We start from the raw sequence: 21286 nt of genomic DNA, 5'->3' as shown, positions 1-21286 counted from the left end.
TGGATTGTATAAATTCTATACCAAAGATTCCTTCATTATTTTTTCCTTATTTCCAATTTAACGGTTATAGTAATGCTTTTAGTTTGATGGGGCATTTTTATTCATCGATAAAAATACACACCAAAAAACACAAACATCAAACTTTAAAATGTGACTGAGTCTTGAGAAGGAACAGAATGAAAATGTCTCAGTTTTCCGGGACTACCTGGCATATCTGAAAAAACAAAATTCAACACATTTAAAACATTAATGGAAAAACTAAGAACCCATTATGAGTCCTGGCTCATTTTCATTTCATTATAATTTGGTGTTTCTAAGCTTTTATGTACATCTATAGCCTCAATATTGCATTTAAAATTAATAACTGGATTAAAATAAATGATATCTTTAGGCCTTCTGATACTTCAGCTTTTTCTTTAAAGCAAGTTTAGAAAAGAAAAAGAATCCTCCAAAGGTGCATTTTACAGTTATATATGCTAATATTACTAAGATAAAAATTTTCAATCTAAAAACAGTATCTGTAATTAATGAAATATTTTAAAAGTCCTGTGATCAATATTTGATGGGATTTATGAGATCAAAAAAGATCTATTTATACCCTTCAGATTCCAACACTAAATGTCTCTTATATAGCATGACATAGAAGTGTATTTTAAGATGATTTTACAGAATAGATGCAGTAATGATAAATACATGCAGAGAGATTTTTGTACTTACCAATCCTGCTGCATACATGGGCACTATAACAGGCTGCTTCTTATTGCCCGTGAAGAGCTACACACACGTTAGACAGAAAGAACATATATTTAGAGAATAATCTATCATACAATGAAATAGTTTCCAAATATGCTTGAGATGTGTTATTACATATATTGGGAATGATAAATTGATGAAACTTAAAAATTGCCCATATGGGTTATTTTATCTCCCAGTCCAATTCCTTCATTTTATATTTAAGAAAAACTACTAAAACAATTTTTTCTAAAAATAAGTATTGATTAGAGAAAAATTTAGGTAGACTGATGTTTAAAAGTCAGCACATTCAATATAAGTGAACATTTAAACCAAATATTTATTTTCTGAGGAACTAGCTTACCACAGCTTAAACAGAAGTATGACAGAATTTTAAAACATCCACAGGTTGATTAAAAGATTTTTCAAGGTACTAACAAACTCACAATGTTTCGGGTGTCTATTCCCAAGGAGGACAAAAGCTTCTTGTTGCTATGGGAGCCGCCCCACTGGTATCTCAAGCCATGTGCATCATGGATATCCTGTAGCTCAGTCCACACATCTAGCAATTCCCTGCAAAGGCCATGATGAAGCCATCAACAACAGGTTACTCAATAACTTTCACCATGAGTTCTACTTATAATATGGCTGTGACATAACACACATTCCATTTACTCTTGGGTCCAACGTAAGTGTATAACTATTTGAATGAAATCAAGAGCCAATACTTATAGTCACTAGAAAAATAACTAAGGCTGGGTGCGGTGGCTCACGCCTGTAATCCCAGCAATTTGGGAGGCCGAGGCAGGCGGATCACCTGAGGTCAGCAGTTCTAGACCAGCCTGGCCAACATGGTGAAACCCCATCTCTACTAAAAAATACAAAAAATTAGCCAGGCATGGTGCTGGGTGCCTGTAATCCCAGCTACTCGGGAGGCTGAGGCAGGAGAACTGCTTGAACCCAGGAGGCAGAGGTTGCAGTGAGCTGAGATCACTCCAGCCTGGGCAACAGAGCGAGACTGTCTCAAAGAAAAAAAGGTATTTCACTGTGAAATTTCAGAATATCAGCAACAAACAGATCTTAAACTATAAATTGAATGTGAGAGTAGAGTAAAAATTTGCCTCCCATCTACCTTTTTTCTCAGAAGGCTATTGGAGGATATGCTCCACCAAAATGGGATCTAAGTGAAGGGAAGTCCCGAGGCAATGTATGTGTAAGCCCAGACTGAAACCATTCTAGATGGGAGCAGAATGATAAGGTGTTGGATCACAAGTGTATGAACAAGCTCTTAAAGGGTAGGGAAACATTAATGAAAAAGAGAAGTCCAGGAAGAAGTTGTACTATAAAGAAAACAGTGGCTTGAGTCAACAATACATACGTGATTATAATAATGAAAATGCCAAATAAGAAATTAACCAAAAACTGATATATGGGGAAGATGAGGGGAGGAGAATAGCAGAGGTAAAATCTAAATTTTCAGTTTTCATTCTAAGAAGTCAAAAAATAATATATAACATCAACTGATTATTGATTTAGAAATATAAAAAGAAATAGCTCAAAAGTAAAAAGGCAGGGAGTTTAGGTTTTGACACAATGTTTTTGAGCCTTAATTTTTTTTTTTTTGGAGATAGAGCCTTGTTCTGTCACTGAGGCTGGAGTGCAGTGATCTTGGCTCACTGCAACCTCCGTCTTCTGGGTTCCAGCGATTCTTGTGCCTCAACCTCAATCCCAAGTAGCTGGGATTACAGGCATGTGCCACCATACCCTGCTAATTTTCTGTATTTTTAGTAGAGACAGGGTTTCACCATGTTGGCTAGGCTGGTCTCAAACTCCTGACCTCAGGTGATCCACTGCGCCTGGCCTGAACCTTAATGTTTTAAGATAAACTTATAAATTAGAACTACTAAAAATAACAAAAACACATGCTATCTAAAAACAGTCTCCTACTTACCCACTTTCAGGTAAGGCCTCTCTCGTTTTTATTGGCAAAGTGCTTGTTTCCAGCAAGTGCTTCAGGGAAGTAACTTCCTCTTCAGCATCAGGGACAAGTATGGAAGGAAAACATGCTTCGAAAATTCGCTCCAGGCGGTTTAATAAAGCTGTCTGCATCAAAACACCCCCCAAAAGTTTATTTTCATTTAATTTTGATAATATCATAGTTATAGCATTAAAATGCAAACACACGCACACCCTGTCCACTACTGTGAGAGAGGAAGAGAACCATCAGAAAACACTGAGTGAAAAGAACACAACTACTCATGAAACAATCACTCTAAATGATTAATTTAAATGATGATGATGAGCTACGTAGCTGGCAATTAAAAGCAACATGCCAAGCAATATACCTGCTACTTTACATGCATTATCTTAATCTATTACAAAATTCTACAAAAAAGAAATTACCCAATTGTACAGTGAGAAAGCAATCTCAATGTCTGAATAATCTGCCCAAAGCAAAACCAAAAAAACCCAGAGAGCATTTATATTCTTTCCACCACACTGGAATGTCTCTTACTACCACTCATCTACTCTAGATTTAGGAACAATAAGATTGGATGCTTGTGGGAAGTATTATGCTATTATAGCTAAACAATCTTTTTTTGAACATAAACATGAATTTTGATAGCCTTTTGGAAATATCTTTGCTGCTAACAGTACAAACCAAAGTAGCAAAGAATGTCTCAATTTTTACTGATAAAAAATTCGAAAGCTCATTCATCATTTTGGTGATATGCATTATCTTTTAGAAATTCCATTTCTCTACTCGTCTTTGTTGCATGTATATTTTTGAATAGAATACTACACTACCTCTCTCCCAAGTAAAGCCTGCATATTCCCCAGAGTATTTCCACCAAGAACAAACAGATACATTTCTTGGCTTTTTTTTTTTAAAGTATTTTTATTAACTAAAACTTGCTGGATTTAGATCAACTTAGTTTTGGTACCACTAGGTTTACTATACATGTGCAACCTACAATAACATTCATTCCTATTTTCCTAACTATTTCAGATACATGTAATATATTTTCCAACTTAGCCCAATTTACCATTTAAACATCAACTGGGAATACAAATTGTTATTAAGTTAAAGCCTGTTGTAAGATTAAGTTTACTATTGAATTGACACAGACTGTAAAAGCAAAATGCCACATCATGGTGGTACTTCCTGCCAAGTAACAAAAACAAGTTGATGCTTGATTTCTGTTTTGTAGTGTAGTGAGCACCCAGGAAAATTAAAAAAAAAAATTTCATAACATTTTCTGAACCCAAATCTCTTTTGGAAGCTGTATCAGAGCAAAAACTTAACACTGCATAATTAGTCTTAGGGTACTCTTTTGTAATTCTACAAAAGTTATTCTCACATCATAATTATATTCATGTGTGTGATATTGGAAAAGGTTCTCACTATCAATTATGAACCCTAAGTAAAGGGTAGCCTCAAGATCCCAAGGCCTGTGAAACTTGAGTGCATCAAGGGGCCCTTGCTCTCACTTGCCTCAACAGAGAGAACGGACAGACATTATTTTCAAAGGGATCAGATAACCACCTAATTGGATACATGATTGGCTCCTCCTGGGCAGGGAAGGTAAACAAAAAACTAACATGGCCAAATTTTATTTCTCTGTAAATTAAATCTTTCTTGTATCCTCTTTGTTATCTTTTTAATGGGATAGGAAAAAAATGTTTACCACAGGAAGAAAGAAATGACCCTAAAACACATCCAACCACTTGGGCAATGTTACACATAACTGCCAGGTGTCAAGACACCAGTAAAATTCTCAAATGAGTGGAATGAAGCTGAGGCAAAAAAGGATGTAAGTTGAATGGAAATTTCTAAAGAAAGTTTCATATATGTTTAGGATCAGATATTACATTAGATTGCTTCAAATCTTACGTTGAATAAGATAGAGCAGGAGATTAGCAATCTTTTCTATAGAGAGCCAGACAGTAAATATGTTAGGCCTTGTAGGCCATATGTAAAGGAATAAGCATGGGTATGTTCCAGTGAAACTTATTTACAAAAACAGGCAGTAGATTTGTCCTGTGGGTCATGGTTTGCCCCTTGAGGTAGAGCAGTAAATAATAAATAACCAGAATCCACTAACAGCATTGCCCAACACAGGGAGGGAAACTCCTCAACAATTCAGCAACTAATAGAATGAACAAAGGCTTTTTTTTTTTTTTTTTTTGAGATAGAGTCTCGCTCTGTCACCCAGGTTGGAGTTTAGTGGTGCAATCTCGGCTCACTGCAAGCTCTGCCTCCCAGGTTCACGTCATTCTCCTGCCTCAGCCTCCCGAGTAGCTGGGACTACAGGTGCCCACCACCGCGCCCAGCTAATTTTTTGTATTTTTAGTAGACGGTGTTTCACCATGTTAGCCAGGATGGTCTCCATCTCCTGACCTCGTGATCCACCCACCTCGGTCTCCCAAAGTGCTGGGGTTACAGGTGTGAGCCACTGCGCCCAGCCCAAATATTTTTATTAAATTTACTCTGACATTTTATTTTTAAAAGTGTATCAATTTCCAGCCAGGTGCAGTGTCTCACGCCTGTAATCCCAGCACTTTGGGAAGCCGAGGCGGGTGGATTGCTTGAGCTCAGGAGTTTGAAACCAGCCTGGCCAACATGGTGAAACCCCGTCTCTACTAAAAATACAAAAATTAGCAGGGCATGGTGGCGCACGCCTGTAGTCCCAGCTACTCAGGAGGTTGAGGCATGAGAATCACTTGAACCAGGAGAGGTGGAGGTGGCAGTGAGCTGAGATCATGCCACTGTAGTCCAGCCTGGGTGACAGAGCAAGACTTGGTCTTAAAAAAAAAAAAAAAGTGTATCAATTTCCATAAGACCAGTTTGGTGGTAAGGGCATCCTGTAATGAGTTTCTCACCACTATCTTGTTTTGGGTAATAAATAAGGCCAAATTTAACTTACTACTAGTTAATTCCAGTAAGTAAATGACTGGTATAATAACACTTCAATAGAGGGCTATAGATCCAGGGGCCAAGACTCCAGTTTCTGCATTTATTTATTTTATTTTTTATTTTTTATTTTTTTGAGATGGAGTCTTACTCTGTCACCGAGGCTGGAGTGCAGTGGTGCGATCTCGGCTCACTGCAACCTTGGCCTCTCAGGTTCAAGCGATTCTGCTGCCTTAGCCTCCCAAGTAACTGGGATTATAGGCGTCTACCACCATTTCTGCCCAGTTTCTGCATTTATAATCTGGAGATATCAGGGTCTATCTACCTCACGAGGTGGATGATAATTCAGAGGATTAAATATTTGGCACCGAGGGTGTCAGAGGTGGCAGCTTTTATCATTACTACTGTTATTATACAAATGATACATACAGACACAGGGGGCTTGCCAGGGAATGAAATAAATGAATGGCAAAACTAGAATCAAAGCTCACTAAGAATGTTTCTCTACCATGATTTAGCATTCTAAATCACTATGAAAATACTTATCTCAATTTATCAATTTCTACCATATTATGATATAACAAGAAATTAAATAATCTAAGCATTCTGCATCCTTCCCAAGGTCATCCTATTGAGTTGGGGGAAAAAAAAGTACCTAGTTTTTAAGAGTATCTATTTTTAAGAGTCTCTTATATAAATGAAACCTGCTATAGTTACTCCTTGTAGAGTTTAAATTTTGGATATTGGTGGTTGGCTTACAGGCATTATGACTTAAATCTTGATTGCATTATGAAACACAAAATGTATAAACCACACATTAGGCATTAAGAATACTTTGCTTCTCAGCTGGGCGCGGTGGCTCATGCCTGTAATTCCAGCACTTTGGGAGGCCGAGGCAGGCAGATCACAAGGTCAGGAGTTCGAGACCAGCCTGACCAACATTGTGAAACCGTGTCTCTACTAAAAGTACAAAAAAATTAGCTGGGCGTGGTGGCTGGTGCCTGTAATCCCAGCTACTTGGGGAGGCCCAGGCAAAGAGAATCACTTGAACCTGGGAGGCAGAGGTGCAAGACTCCATCTCAAAAAGAGTACTTTGCTTTCCAAGAAGCACAATAAAGTTAAACATTCAAAAATGTGATGTAACATAGTCCAAATAACTTGGTAAGTAGAACAGTTACAAGAATATAACTAATGTAATACTCAGAAGAAGAGAAGTTAAAATAACCTACCACAAGAACAGTTTCTCTTATGACCAGACAGGTTTTTTTCAGGAAATAGATTTTCCCAAACAGATTGTGATCAGACACTAATTTTTTAAAGAAATCATTGCTATTTTGAACATAAAATTTGAGCACTTGGGATAAAAGGTGTATCAAAACTGTGAGAGTGGCAAAGGTTTCAAATTTGTTTTTCAAAAATTTTTTGGGGGTACATATATTATTTTCATCTGTTTTACAATACAATCATCCTCTCAACATCAGCCAAGGATAGTTTAACATATGCAAATAAATCAGTAGTAAAATTCAGTATCACATCAAAACTCTAGTTAAAGTAAAATATTAAACTTGGATTTCTTCTTATGAGTACAAAGGAACTTTGCTTATATTACTCTGCTTATGTGAACTCCTATTTCAATACAGAGTATATGCAGCCATAATGGGAAATCTACTGGTTTTGATTAGGTGGGGGCACAACACAAATCTTCAAACTCCCTGTAGCAGATTAATGCAGAAAAAGGTTGCATCAAACAGTGACATTTACTAACATATTACAGTACGTGTGGACTTGAATTAGATGTAAAATTCCAAAAAATAGATACTTTATTATTTAGAATTGGTGAAGTGACACTGGCTGAGCTCTAGTTTCCTTAGGCACGTAAGGCAGTATAAGTAAAGCAAACAATATCATTTTAACCCAGTTCAGGAAAGTGGGAGCCTAAATTCAGCAAAAGATCAAAAGATGTACTCTGAAACCTACTCAGAAGCTGCAAAAGCTTGCTATCATGTAACATAATTTTCATTTAATGCTCACATAGTGCCCACCATGTGGCAGACATTATTCTAAATGCTTTACAAAGTTTAGCTCATTTAAGTTTCAAAAGAACCATATGAGGGAGGTAATAATATCATCTCCATTTCCTGGATGAGAAAAGCAGAGCAGAAAGAGGTTAACTTCCCTGTGGTCACATGAATATTAAGTGGAGAGGCTGAGTTCCTACCCAGGAAGTATAGTTTCAGTGTAGGTGCTCTTAACCACTATATTATGTTGTCATCAAAGCAGTTCTAAGTTCAATTTCTAAAAATTGCAAGAGCTTTGAGGGCAGGGACTATGTCTTTTTCTTGAATTTCCAGTACCTGGGTTCCTGCACATAGTTGGTATTAATGTGCACCAGATTAAAAAAAAAAAAAAAAGCACTTCGCCTTCATTTAGGACTGCAGGGGGCATAATTGTTCTACTTATAAAAGTATATCTTACTGTAAGCCATCTAAATCATTTTTATACACAGGTTGGGCATATTTAAATAATTACAAGACATAAAATAGCCAAATCTTGTCTCCCATATACCATATTATGCTTGACGCTCTACATGTATTACTCCATGAATCTTCTAAAAGAAACTCCAGAAGTATTACTGTCTTCATATTACAGATGAAGAAACTATAGTTCAGGAAGATTCAGGTAAGTACCATAGCCTTACTGGTGGTATAGTACACAGCAGATATTTGATCCAAAGTCTGACTCCAAAGCCTACATTCTTTTCACTAAATCATGTTTTTCCCCACATTTTGTGGTCTTTCAAACATTTCTAGCCATAATTAGATAAGGGATTTACCTGTTAAATGGTGCGGTGATAACTATGCTTAAAGCAAATGATTTCATCTAACACTACAATTCATTGTTTTCAACAAAGTTAGTTGTTAATTCTTACTAAAGAGTCAGTGCTGCATTCTGAATATGAAGGTAACAAATAAATGCACACTTAGCATACTAAATATTTAGCTGATGTTACAATACTAAACGTCAAATCAAAATAATAGTTACAGCAATTACTTGATTTTTTTTTTCTTTTTAAGAGATGGTCTCACTCGCTCATTCAGGCTTCAGCGCAGTGGTGCCATCACAGCTCACTGCAGCCTTGAACTTCTGGGCTCGAGTGATCCTGTCACAACCTCCTGGGTAGCTAGGACCACAGGTGAACACCACCAGGCCTGGCTAATTTTTATTTTTTATTTTTTGTAGAGATGGCGTCTCACTATGTTGCCAAGGCTGGTCTTGAACTCCTCCTTTCAAGCAATCCTCCTGCCTTGGCCTCCCAAAGCACTAGGATTTCACATGTGGGCCACCACACCCAGCCCCAATTACTTGAATTTTAAATGCCATCATCTTCAAAGTATAAAGAGGAAAAACAGTCCTTGGTTTTCCCTTGAATATGGAATAAACTGATGACTGGCTAGCTGAATACCAGTTTATGTGACTCAGTCACACCTTTTCATTCACAGAAGTACCAACTTCTAAGCCTGGCAAACAGCACATCTGGCTATTAAACATTTTAAAAACTGGGGCTCTGATAAATGTAGGATTAAAAATCAAATGCTATTCAAGGCAGGTACCATACCCTCCTTTTTCATTTTCTCTATTAATGTCCAATGCTATGAAGCCAAGTAGAGGAGCTATGCTACTTACACAGAAGTATACTTGTGCTTAGACTAGTTCATACCTATCAAAAACCATTCTGAATGGAAACTAGCCCAAAGCAGGAGCTTTCGCTCTCAGAATAGCCTGACAGGTTGAGTATACTAACAAGAGCCAGAACTAGGGGGTACTCCCACACAAATTCTGATTTGCCTCCCTATTACTTTCTTTTTTTTCCTCCCCCAAGATGGAGTTTCGCTCTGTCACTCAGGATGGAGTGCAGTGGTACGATCTCGGGTCACTGCAACCTTCGTCTCCTGGGTTCAAGTGATTCTCCTGCCTCAGCCTCCCGAATAGCTCAAATTACAGCCGCACACCACCATGCCTAGCTAACTTTTGTAGTTTTAGTAGAGATGGGGTTTCACCATGTTGGCCAGGCTGGTCTCAAACTCCTGACCTCAAGTGATCCATCCGCCTTGGCCTCCCAAAGTGCTGGGATTACAGGCATGAGCCACCATGCCCGGCCCCTCCCTATTACTTCCTGTTAACCAAAAAACACATTTTATGGAGAAAGGGCTCAGGAAAGTCGTATGCATCCTTGGCTACACCACATCTTCAAAGGTACATTTGCTTTTTTAGCTTTTCCCTCTTTCCCAATTTTCTCATTTCTTGTATATTCATTTTCCTATCAGGGTCCTTCATTACCTTGAATGTCTTTATAATTATTATTATTTTTTAAACCAGATTTGGTTTCTGGAAAAGCAAAAAATGATTACCCAATGGTTTAATTCATCAGTGGGGCAAAGCTTCATGTATGAATTGACAACTTTTACTCATTCCTAGTTCTGTCATGTCTTTATGTCTCGGGGTAGTGGAAGAAAGTCCCAGGGTATATAAGCAGCCATTTCACTTTATCCACTGGTGCAAGTAAGCCATTTAATCTAATGCAGAGCTTCTCGACTGGCACGTTTTAGTCACAAACAGGTTCCAGTCTTCCATAAATCCTGAAAGCTATATATGGATGTAAGGTGTTCCCTCTTGTGATGGTTAAATTTATGTGTCAACTTGACTGGGCCATGGGGTGCCCAGACATTTGGTCAAACATTATTCTGGGGCGGAGCATGGTGGCTCATGCCTATAATCCCAGCACTCTAGGAGGCAGAGGCAGGCAGATTGCTTGAGCCCAGGAGTTGGAGACCATCTGGGCAACATGGCAAAATCCCATTTCTATAAAAAATACAAAAATTAGCCAGGTGTGGTCGCACACACCTGTAGTCTCAGCTACTAGAGAGGCTGAGGTGGGAGGACTGCTTGAAACCAAGAGGTGAAGGCTGCAGTGAGCAGAGACCATGCCACTACACTCCAGGCTGGGCAACGGAATGGGACCCTGTCTCAAAAACAAACCAAAGAACGCGAAAACATGTTATTCTGGGAGTACCTGTGAGGGTGTTTCTAGATGAGATTAAGATTTGAATTGGTAATCTGACTAAAGCAGATTGCCCTCCCTAATGTGGGTAGGCCTCATCCAATCAGCTGAAGACCTGAATAGAACAAAAATGCTAAGGAACTTCTGCCTGATTTTGAGTTGGTACTTCAGTTGGACTTGAGCTAAAAAATCAGCTCTTCTTAGATCTTAAGCCTGCTGGCTCCTGGGCTGGAACTTACACCACTGCTCTCCTGGTTCTTAGGGCTTTGGACTCAGACTGGAACTACACCATCAGCTCTTGGGTCTCCAGCTTATGCACTGTGGCTTTTGGAACTTCTCAATTTCCAATAATCAATCTCTCTCTCTCTACTACCTCCACTTCTACTTCCCCTCCCCATCCTTCCCTCCCTAACCTCCACACATACCCTATTGGTTCTGTTTATCTGGAGAACTCTAATACACCTCTATTTTATAAATGACTACATCTGGGCATAAAGAGATTAAGTGTATTGCAAGTCTCATTTAGCTTTCCAGAGAGGTGTACACAGGACCCCAGACTCTGGTTCTTATGCCATTCAAATGCCTATCTCCTTTAAAGGACAGCAGGTCCTTGAATAATGTCATTTTGTTGTAATGTTGATGAGAAAAACAACTGATTCCTGGCTGCAGCCACTACCTGTGTGGAGTTTGCACATTTTCCGTATGTCCACCTGGGTTTTTTTTCTGGGTATGCCAGTTTCCTTATAGATCCTAAAGATGTGTACATTAGATTGTCTAAATTGTTCCAGTCTGAGTAAGTGCTGGTATGTGTGTGTGAGTGTGCCCTGCAATGGAATGGCATTCAGGCCAGGAATAGTTTCAGCCTTGTACCCTGAGCTGGAGGGATAGGCTTCGGCCACTGATGACCCTGAGCTGGAATAAGTAGATTGCAAAAAGAATAAATTACAAAGTAAACATTCGTGAAGTCTACAATAATCATACAAATGCACAGCAATAAATTATGCAGTATGAAAGTGCCCAGTGAGCCTGCCAGATTTGTGATTGTTTTTGAATTGTATGGTGGTAGGAGGTGCTCCTTAGATCATTTTTGCTTTGCAAACGTTTATCCCTTGATTTTACCCAGCACCACTATGAGTGATGTCACTCACTGATTCACCAAAAACTGGGTAAGTAATTATGTTTCTTGTTCTTTGTAATCTTTCTTAAATGTGAGCATAGCTCACATTTATTTCAATGTTTAATATTAGAAGTGCTTTGTGTCTTTATTTAGAGGTTCAGTGATGTTTCTGTGACCAGAAAGATGCCATAGAAACTTAACTCTTGTTTATATCAGTTAGCCTATGGTAAAATTGGTTTTGTTATATGTCCTTTCACTTAAAGTTGCAGTTTCCAAGACCCTATCAAGGATATTAAGTAATGACTTAAGTATTTTATATTTAAGGTAACTCTTGATATTCCTTCAACTTATTTCCAGTTAGTTTTCCTTTCTTGCTTAGGGACAGGAGTTGATTAATATCAATAGTTTTAATATTGATAACATTAGGTTTCACACTCAAGTAGAAGTTTAGAAGAAACATTAAAATCCACTGGGTAATTTAATCTTCCATTTAAGAGGATATCTTATGCTGCAGCACCATTAAATATTAAGTAAGCTATCAAGTACAATCTACAACTGTATACTTACCAATCCCCAATTTCAAGCTGTATAAAGAGTGACCAGCTGTAATATTCACCAGATCTAAACATGATTTTTCCCTTCTGTACAGTTTCTGAATAAATCTAATAAAGCATTTCTATTTTGAAATTAAACACCAGATAGTCAAATTTTCTGAGGAAAAAATAGCAAAAGGAAATTCTATCGAAATAGTTAAATAAGGAAAGATCTATAAGGAAAGCTAAAGTCTTACATCTTAATTCTCTTATTTTGTTGCTTACTTCTGTTTTCAGTTGTATGTTCCAGTGTTCACAGGATGGAAAACCTGCATAAATATTAGCTAGATGACTAAATAAGTGAAGATGAAAAGGTAGGACTGGTTATATTCAGTTTAAGAACACTGAGTTTCTATGCCTGTAATCACAGCTACTTGGGAGGCTGAGGCACGAGACTCGCTTGAACTCAGGAGGCATAGGCTGCAGTGAGCCGAGATTGCACCTGCACTCCAGCCTGGGCGACAGAGCAAGATTCCGTCTCAAAAACAAAACAAACCAGTAACTTAATCTTGAACTAACACAAGCCAAGGTATTAGTAATTCTCTTCTTTTTGGTGGCACTTGACTTTCAAAGCTCTCAAAACAAATCTTCAGCTAACAGCATTTTCCCTGTAGCATTATCAATTGGATGTCTAATAAAAAATAACTCATAGCCTCCTTTTCTATACCCAATTAATATAAACAGATTACTTACCAATTACCTAAATTTCTAAATGATATCCAGAACAATATTTTAAAATTTTACAAAAGCTCAGGGGTAAATGCAGTGCTTATGACATTCATTACCTCTTTTATCATGTAGCTATCAAACAAGGCATTTTGGTTATTTCAATCAAGATTTCTTTCTGAAACAAAAAAGTTAAAAAAAAATTTCCTGGCTTCCCAGGACAGAAAAAAAAATTGTTAAAATAACACTCATAAAAAAGGACTGCTTTGAAATGTAAGGAAGGTTTTGTTGTTGTTGTTGCATTTTGTTGTTTTAAATCTTTAGCCAAAAAGTGAAGACCTCGTTCTCATTCGTATAATGGAGATACCACTACTTACCTTCTCTACAATTTATACAAATGTTAACAAAAGAATGAAATATACTAAACTTCAGGTTCTCAGAAAAAATTATTCACCGAAGGGACAAGATATCTATTTCTCAATAATGTTCATATATGGCTTTTACATCAAAGCTTGAACCCTCTGAGACTGGCTGGACCCACAGCTGAGAATTAGACTACGAACATTTTTTTAATTTTGCAAGAATTCTTGCTTGACTTTTCGCTACCTAAGTAACAAATTATTGCACTAACCCCAACGAAGACATATTTATTAACATTTTAAGATATCTTTTTGGTGGGCTAAAAACAGGAAAGTGCTAAGAAATGGGGACCTGGACAATGTCACATACCAAATAGTGAAAAGTGGAAGAAATCTGAAATGACCAACTATACCATTTGTCTGACTTCACAAAACAAAGATTTGTTTTCCATGCTTGTTTAATCAAACAAATTAAATCAAATTGCCATGTTTGTTTAATTAAGCTCTGAATTCTAAAACACGTTCTGTCAAAGCAAAATTCGGACAAAACCACTTGATGGCATTTTGTTCAGGACACTTGTGGCATCCGGGTAAGATTGAACAGAAATAAATCATTTCAACTTTTACCACTAAAAAACTTAATGCTTACTGTTATTAATATGTGAGGAGGCTAGGCACGGTGGCTCACGCCTGTAATCCCAGCACTTTGGGAGGCCGAGCCGGGTGGATCACCTGAGGTCAGGAGTTCGAGACCAGCCTGGCCAATATGGTGACACTTCATCTCCAATAAAAGTACAAAAATTAGCCGGGCGTGGTGGCATGGGCCTGTAGTCCCAGCTACTAGGGAGGCTGAGGCAGGAGAACTGCTTGAACCCGGGAGGCGGAGGCTGCAGTGAGCTGAGATCGTGCCACTGCACTCCAGCCTGGGTGACAGAGCAAGATTCTGTCTCCAAAAAAAAAAAAAAAGTGAGGAATTCGTGCTGTTCCAAACACTGTCCGGAGCAACTAGGGAAAACATTTTAAGAAAAATACTAATAAATCTAATCCTCTCCAAAAGGGCTAAATTAATGCACTCTTCTAGCAGAATCTGAAGCCCAAGAAATAAAGTGCCAGCCGCAATTCTCTTTCACAACAGCAGGGTAAGAACGAGAGTCTTTGTTCAATCTTTCTCCACTTCTGACTCAGTCACTTACTCAGCAGGGTTTATCCATTTCACTACTTCAACTTTCTTCCCAAACTTCTTCTGGCCTCCTCCAGCAGTTTCTCTTTCCCAACATCCAAATTCTGTTCATTTTCCATAACCCATTAGCAAAAATAGAAGCATGAGGCCTTAGCCAAACAAATCCAAGAAAGTCTTGTGTGTGTGTGTGTGTGTGTGTGTGTGTGTGTGTGTGTGTGTGACAGTCTCTCTCTGTAGCCTAGCCTGAAATGCAGTGGTGTGATCTCGGCTCACTGCAACCTCCACCTGCTGGGTTCAAGTTATTCTCCTGTCTCAGCCTCCTGAGTAGCTGGGATTACAGATGCACGTCACCACGCCCAGCTAATTTTTGTATTTTTAGTAGAGACAGGGTCTCACCATGTTGGCCAGGCAGGGCTAGAACTCCTGACCTCAAGTGATCCACCCACTTCAGCCTCCCAAAGTGCTGTGATTACAGGCATGAGCCACTGCACCTGGTCTCAGAAACTCTTAATGCATCTTGCCCCATCTATAGTTTGTTTTATTTTTATAAAAAAAAGAATCATACTATAAAATTCTTATTTTCTAGCAGATTATTTCACTCATTTTAAAATTTCCTTTTATATTCACAAAAGTTCTTTGAAGTAGGTATTACCTTCTTTGTATATACAGCTGAATTCAGAAGTAACCTATCCAAAAATCATAAGGCTTTTTAAGAGGCTGGGTCAAAATTCAAACTCAGATCTGTCAGATTCCATGAAGCCCATACGCTTTATTATCTCCTATATCCAGTTATCAAATTATACATAAATAACTTCAATCAACTTGTATGATGCAAGAAATTCCTACTTGAGTGGTCACACTTTAAAAAATTCATTATCTGATGATGTTAAAAGTTCTAAGGCTACAAATTAAAGATCACCCAATACCAGTGTCACCCTATCCTCTAGTGAGATGAAACTAAATAGGGAAAGGGTTAGGTCAAAAGCAACAGTCCTCATTTAGCATCATAATTAGTTCACTTCTTGTTTAAAATGGCAAGGTTCTGCCTAAATAATGAACTGCTCAATAGGAATAATACACATTAGCTAAACCATGTAATAACTGAATTAGCAAATTAAACTACTTTGACACAAAAGCCAACTAAAAAGCGATTAGCTATGCACACCAACTGGTAATACCATAATTTCTCTAATATCTTACTGTCTCAAAGTTATCAAGGCAATGAAATATAAGTATTTCAATTACAAAGACTTTGGAAAGATTTCCAGTTGAAAATGGTTTTCTTAGCAGAAGATAACTGGAGAAATAAAGTTTGTAGATTCTGAGTTTATTAACAGTATATTTAAAATAAGCTTGTGGATCAGGTGTTAGTTACATATATCAATTGTCAGTATAAGGCAGTGAGGTTCAAGGGAGTGCCCTCTTCCACACCCCTGGAGTTGAAAAAAGGTAAAGTTTAGCACAGAGTAGAACTCTGGACTGGGGAACAACCTAGATATCAAGCTACACCTCTAGGGGCTACTTTAGGTCAAAGTGAATCTTAATGAATCTTTTCTGAAAGAGTCTGAATCAAAAAAGGATAATGTATAGGAGGTAAGGGGTAAAAATATTCTCCCTGACACACCTACTCTCTAGGAAGAGCTAACAAGTACATTTGTAAGAAAGTATAGGCAAATAAATACAACTACAATAAGTGAACCTATAGTTATTTCTTATTTTAGGACTAAACCTTAATTCATCTCATACCCTCACCCCAAGTCTTTTAGCAGCTGCTAAATTATGAGGAAAAAGAAAAACTTGCTTTTTTCTAGTTGTTTTTCTGTTCTTCAATTCACTATAGCCTTTGGCACAGAATGAGGTTTCAAATTCTGCTTGTTCTCTCCTGGAATCAAAACCGTACTTGAATTTCCTAGGTCTTTGATGGAAAAAATTAACATTCTATTCTTAAGCTTAAAAAAAAAAAGATCCAAATCTCAGTTTAACCTTCTTTTAAAATCACTGTAAAGGGTAATACTGAAGGATTGACTGGAACCGTCAATTAGGTAATAAGTGTGGGTTTTTTTTTTTTTTTTTAACATATATGGTATTTATAGTCACCAAAAAATCCAAGTTGATGAGTATCTGTAAATATTAACGAAACTCATTGAGATAAAGAAAAATCTTACTGCGCTTTACTATAGGACTATTTGTAGTTTCCCAAAGGGTTGTGAAAAATGTAACCAACCCACAAATCAGACAGGCATTATACATCATAACGAGACTCCTTTAACAAGTACTCAGTTGAAAAAATATTTTTTGAAAAGCTGAAATTAGAAGCCTCCACAACAATTAATACATCATACAAAATAGAGAAAATTAGTAAATACCTGAACTGAAGTGGCTGATTCCTGTAAATGGCCACTAGCAACTGCTCCTTTGGAAGTTGCTGAAGGTACACTGTGCGTTTTGGGGGTTCCTGGAGTATCAATATTTTCATCTGTCCTATGTGACTGCCAGGCTTCCTTTCGATGATGAGATTCAGTAGCCTGCTGGTCTCCAAAAGCAGCCCAAGAACAACTATCTTTTTGTTCATCCTCAAAAGCATTCCAATCTACAACTTGGCTAGGACCAGCTGAACTGAAGTCTGCAAAATCATCAGAGTCTTGAAAACCATTGCAGTCATCCTGAATATTTGGCACAGAATCAAAATGTCCAATCTCACCTTCTTGCCCATTTTTAAGTTTTGCAACAGGTTCAGTGCCTGTTCCACTAGATTTTCTTGCCAATTGACATTCTTCTGATAAATTATCAGAAGTCTGTTTTAGGTCTGACTTTGTTAATATTGTCTCCTCTTGGCAAGAAACAGCATTTATATCCCCAAATTCTCCAAAGTCATCACCTGGTTCACTAAAATGTGGAAAGTGCTCTGAAGACTCTTCAAAAGTGGCATCACTCATTGAATCTTGAGTACCAGTAACAAAAGGTGGAGTTGAGCCACTGGCAGAGCCAAAGTCACCAAAATCACCAAAATCATCTTCATTGATATCATTGCAAGTCACAAAGTCATTACTACTATCACCATTTTTTACACTTAAAGAATCATCCAAATCATTTTCTTCTGTGGGGTCAATGTTTGGGCTTTGGAAATTAGTAAACTTTCTACTTTCTTCTTTGGGAGAACCAACTTCATCATCAGAAGTTTTAACAGAATCCATGCATAGGTGAGCACATTTAGAAGTAAGTAAGTCAAGTTTTTCTTCAGTTTTACATTGTTCTCTCCTAATGGCTTCTGAATTATCAGCTGAGTCTACCAAACTCCAAGCCTTTGACTGAACACCTGACTGTAAAAATTCATCCTGTTGCAGTGTTGGAAGGCCTTGTTTTTCAACACTGAAACCTCTGTTAGTCACTATGCTTATTTCTGAAACACAAACCTGATCCTCTCCATCAGTGTCTCCTTTGTTATCCAAGCTTCTACCCAAAGCCACTTCTTTTACAGAATTCAGTTCATTGACTCTATTAATTTTATTGTTTTCCCGAATGGTTAGTGCTTCTCTATCATTTAAAACTGCACATTCTATTTCTTCTAATTGTATCCTTTCCTTTTTGGAAAATGTGGCAAAATCTGCAAATTCCTCAGCAGGACTAGGTACAGAGTCTAAATTATACTCAGTGCTATGAGTGCTAAGAGGCTTCCGTCCCTTTGAATCAGCTACATTGTCCAGATCATCTGTTCCCTGAGGATTTACAGTTTCCAACACTGCAAACCCATTTGTTAGAATCTCCAGACAAGGAGGCTTTTCACCATTGCAGCTCTCTAACTGCTTGTTTTGATGAACAACATTCATATTAGTTCTAAAATCTCCTGGAGAGAAACTTTCAAGTGTTCCAACATTCTGTCTCTGCTCCACTACTTTATTTAAATTTCCTGGTCTTTCCATGCCATCAATGGAAGTAGCTAACATTTCAGATGAAATTATTTCTTTGCTGGTGGTAGAAAGTAAAACATCAGACTGTCCTTTCACAGGAGCAGAAAGTTCAGCAGTGATGTCCTTATCATTACCATTTTTAATGGACTTAAAGCTTGTAAGGCTATCTACATTTTCTGAGAATTCATGAATTGGCATAAAATGGTTTGAAGGTACAAACTCTTCCTTGGGACGAGTATAATCTGGTGTATCGAAATCAACAAACCCTACACCAGAAGGGCTAACTTCTGAAAACCCACCAAATTCCCCAAATTCATCATCATCATCATCCTCTGCTCCATTGTCTAATGGTGGTGGGGATGAAGAGTACATTCGAATGATGTCTGGCTCCATTGTTCAGTTGCTTTCAAATAATTAATTTACACCTGTAAAAAAGAAAAAAAGAATTTTTGGAGGGGACAGATTACATAGAACAAGATCTTTCAAAATTCTCTCAAAGCTACTTTAAAACAATGCAAATTTACAATGCTCTATTTTGTCTCCTTTTTTCCTTGACCATGTCCTGCATGATGTTTTGTATCTTTTAATCTATTTTTCTCTTAGGTGCAATTACTTTACACAGCTATAGTGCACTGGAAAAAAAAAAAGTTCTCTTAGACTACATGTTACCAAGAGCACTGGTAGTACATTAATGAAATGTGGGGATTCCAGATAATTCTGAATATACACTTACAAAAGTACAGCTACAAAATTCTCTCCTGGGGTAAGTGCTTATTCTGTTAAGTTCTCCTTCAATTCATTAAGGATTCAGTGCTTGCCTTATGGATTTGTATGAGTTCTTTATATTAATAAAGGCATCAAAATTTTATCAGTAATAATTGTTACAAATATTTTCTTCACTTGGCTTTTCAATGTTTATTTCTGACCCAAGTTAATTTTTAAATACTTAATAATTTGAAATAGTTTAAGACTCAAAAAAAGTTGGAAATACAAGAGTTCTTGTGTATATTCCACTTAGCTTCTCCCAATGGTAATATAGTAATAAGGTAATAACCATAACACATGGTCAAACCAGGAAACTGACATCAGTACAATACTATTAACTCAGGTACAGACCTTGTTTGGATTTCACCAGTTGTGTGTGTGTGTGTGTGTGTGTGTGTGTGTGTGTGTGTGTGTGTGTGTGTGTGCATGCGTACAGTTCTAAAAATTTTATATGTGTGGATTAGAGTGACCATCACTACAATCAGGATAAGAACTGTTCTATCAACACAAAAAAAACTCCCTCATGTTACCTCTTAATAGTCACACTCTTCCCTAAACCCTAATCCTCGATCTATTCTACATCATTATAATTTGTTACATCAAGAATGTTATATATAAATAGAATCACACAATACATAACCCTTTGAAGCTGGCTTTTTCCCTCAGCCTAATAATGCCCTTGAGAGCTATCCATGTTGCTGCATTTGTCAACAGTTCATTCCTTTTCTTTTTCTTTTTTCAGAGACAGGGTCTCACTATGTTGCCCAGGCTGGTTTCTTGGGCTGAGCAATCCTCCTGCCTCAGCCTCCTGGGTAGCTGAGACTACAGGTGCACATCACCACTCCTGGGTCTGACTCTTTTTCATTGCTAACTAGCATTCCATTGTATAGATGTACCACAGGTTGTCTACCCATTCACTCCATATAGGATATGTGGGTTGTTTCCAGTATTTTCCTATTACAAATAAAACTGCTATGAACATTCATGTACAGATTACTATGTGAACCCATGTTTTCATTTCTCTAAAATATATAAACCCAGGAGTGTGAATGCTGCGTCATGTAGCATGCTCAACTTTATAAGAAACTGCCAAGCTGTTTTCCCAAGTTAATTTTAGGAAGTCAAATCAATTGATTTTTTCACGAAGATGAAGAAAGTTTTATGCAACTTTCTTCATTATTTTGCTGTCATATAAAAGTTAATAAATATTCACTTTTATTTTCTTCTACTTTTAGGGAATAAAAAACATTTAATTTTAACACATCTAGAACTTATTTTGGTGTATGATGTAAAGCAAAAATGTAAGGTGAATTTTTTTTTTCTCAACAGCCAAGCAATGGTCTTAATCCCTTTTGTTGAATAATCCTTCCCATACTAATTAATTTGTAATAGCTTCTTTTTAATACATTTAATTCTTAAATGAAACCTGAGTTATTCTATTCCTCTGTGCTGAGGAGTCAAAAGTTCCACAGGTCAGATTTAACATTACAAGCAAAGGGACCACCTATAATCCCAGCACTTTGGGAGGCTGAGGTGGGCAGATTGCTTGAGGTCAGGAGTTCAAGACCAGCCTGGCCAACACGGTGAAACCCCACCTCTACTAAAAATAAAAAAATTAGCCGGGCGTGGTGGTGCACATCTGTAATATCAGCTACTTAGGAAGCTGAGGCAGGAGAATCACTTGAACCCAGGAGGTGGAGATTGCAATGAGGCGAGATCGTGCCACAGCACTCCAGCCTGAGTGACAGAGTGAGACTCGGTTTCAAAAAAAAAAAAAAAAAAAAAAAAAAAAAAGGGAGGACTAACAGCCAAAGTCCTAGAATAAAACCAGCACATAAATAATAAACAGATACTTCTTACAACTCACAGCTGCCCAGTTAGATACATGAGGAAAATGTTTACTACAAAATTCAACCAGTTTTGCAAGCTAGACTTCTCTCAGAATAAAATTTCCTAAGATCTTCCACAGTTTTAGAGTGAAGGTACCGTAGA

General features: G+C 37.6%; 1 protein-coding gene and 1 long non-coding RNA gene across 20 annotated transcripts in view; one reads left to right on the top strand and one right to left on the bottom strand.

Moving 5' to 3' along the window:
• The window catches only part of AFTPH (aftiphilin), a 68678-nt gene that overhangs the window by 22609 nt on the left and 24783 nt on the right, over positions 1-21286 (bottom strand). For 10 of the 13 annotated variants that reach the window (NR_164746.1, NR_164747.1, NM_001375969.1 and 7 more), the window contains exons 2-5: positions 16988-18954; positions 2684-2835; positions 1179-1305; positions 718-774 (exon numbers count right to left, since the gene is read on the bottom strand). Coding sequence is in view for 10 of the 13 variants with exons in the window: in NM_001375969.1 (NP_001362898.1) it covers positions 718-774; positions 1179-1305; positions 2684-2835; positions 16988-18922 (2271 nt within the window). In the remaining 3 variants the exon portion in view is untranslated. The remainder of the gene's footprint in view (positions 1-717; positions 775-1178; positions 1306-2683; positions 2836-16987; positions 18955-21286) is intronic. The other 3 variants (NR_172363.1, NM_001375973.1, NM_001394996.1) reach the window with 1 other exon arrangement.
• Positions 1-21286, top strand: part of LOC105374773 (uncharacterized) — a 68499-nt gene that overhangs the window by 36843 nt on the left and 10370 nt on the right. For 3 of the 7 annotated variants that reach the window (XR_007086342.1, XR_007086340.1, XR_007086339.1), the window contains 3 exons: positions 4407-4547; positions 8154-12945; positions 19133-19292. This is a non-coding gene — a long non-coding RNA (uncharacterized LOC105374773). Of the gene's footprint in view, positions 1-4406; positions 4548-8153; positions 12946-19132; positions 19293-21286 lie in introns of those variants that run through there. The other 4 variants (XR_007086343.1, XR_007086341.1, XR_007086347.1 and 1 more) reach the window with 3 other exon arrangements.

The sequence above is a fragment of the Homo sapiens genome, chromosome 2, assembly GCF_000001405.40.
Source record: "Homo sapiens chromosome 2, GRCh38.p14 Primary Assembly".
In the NCBI taxonomy this organism is placed as follows: Eukaryota; Metazoa; Chordata; class Mammalia; order Primates; family Hominidae; genus Homo; species Homo sapiens.
Note: the sequence above shows the minus strand (reverse complement) of the source record. Positions and strands in the feature narration are given on the sequence as shown.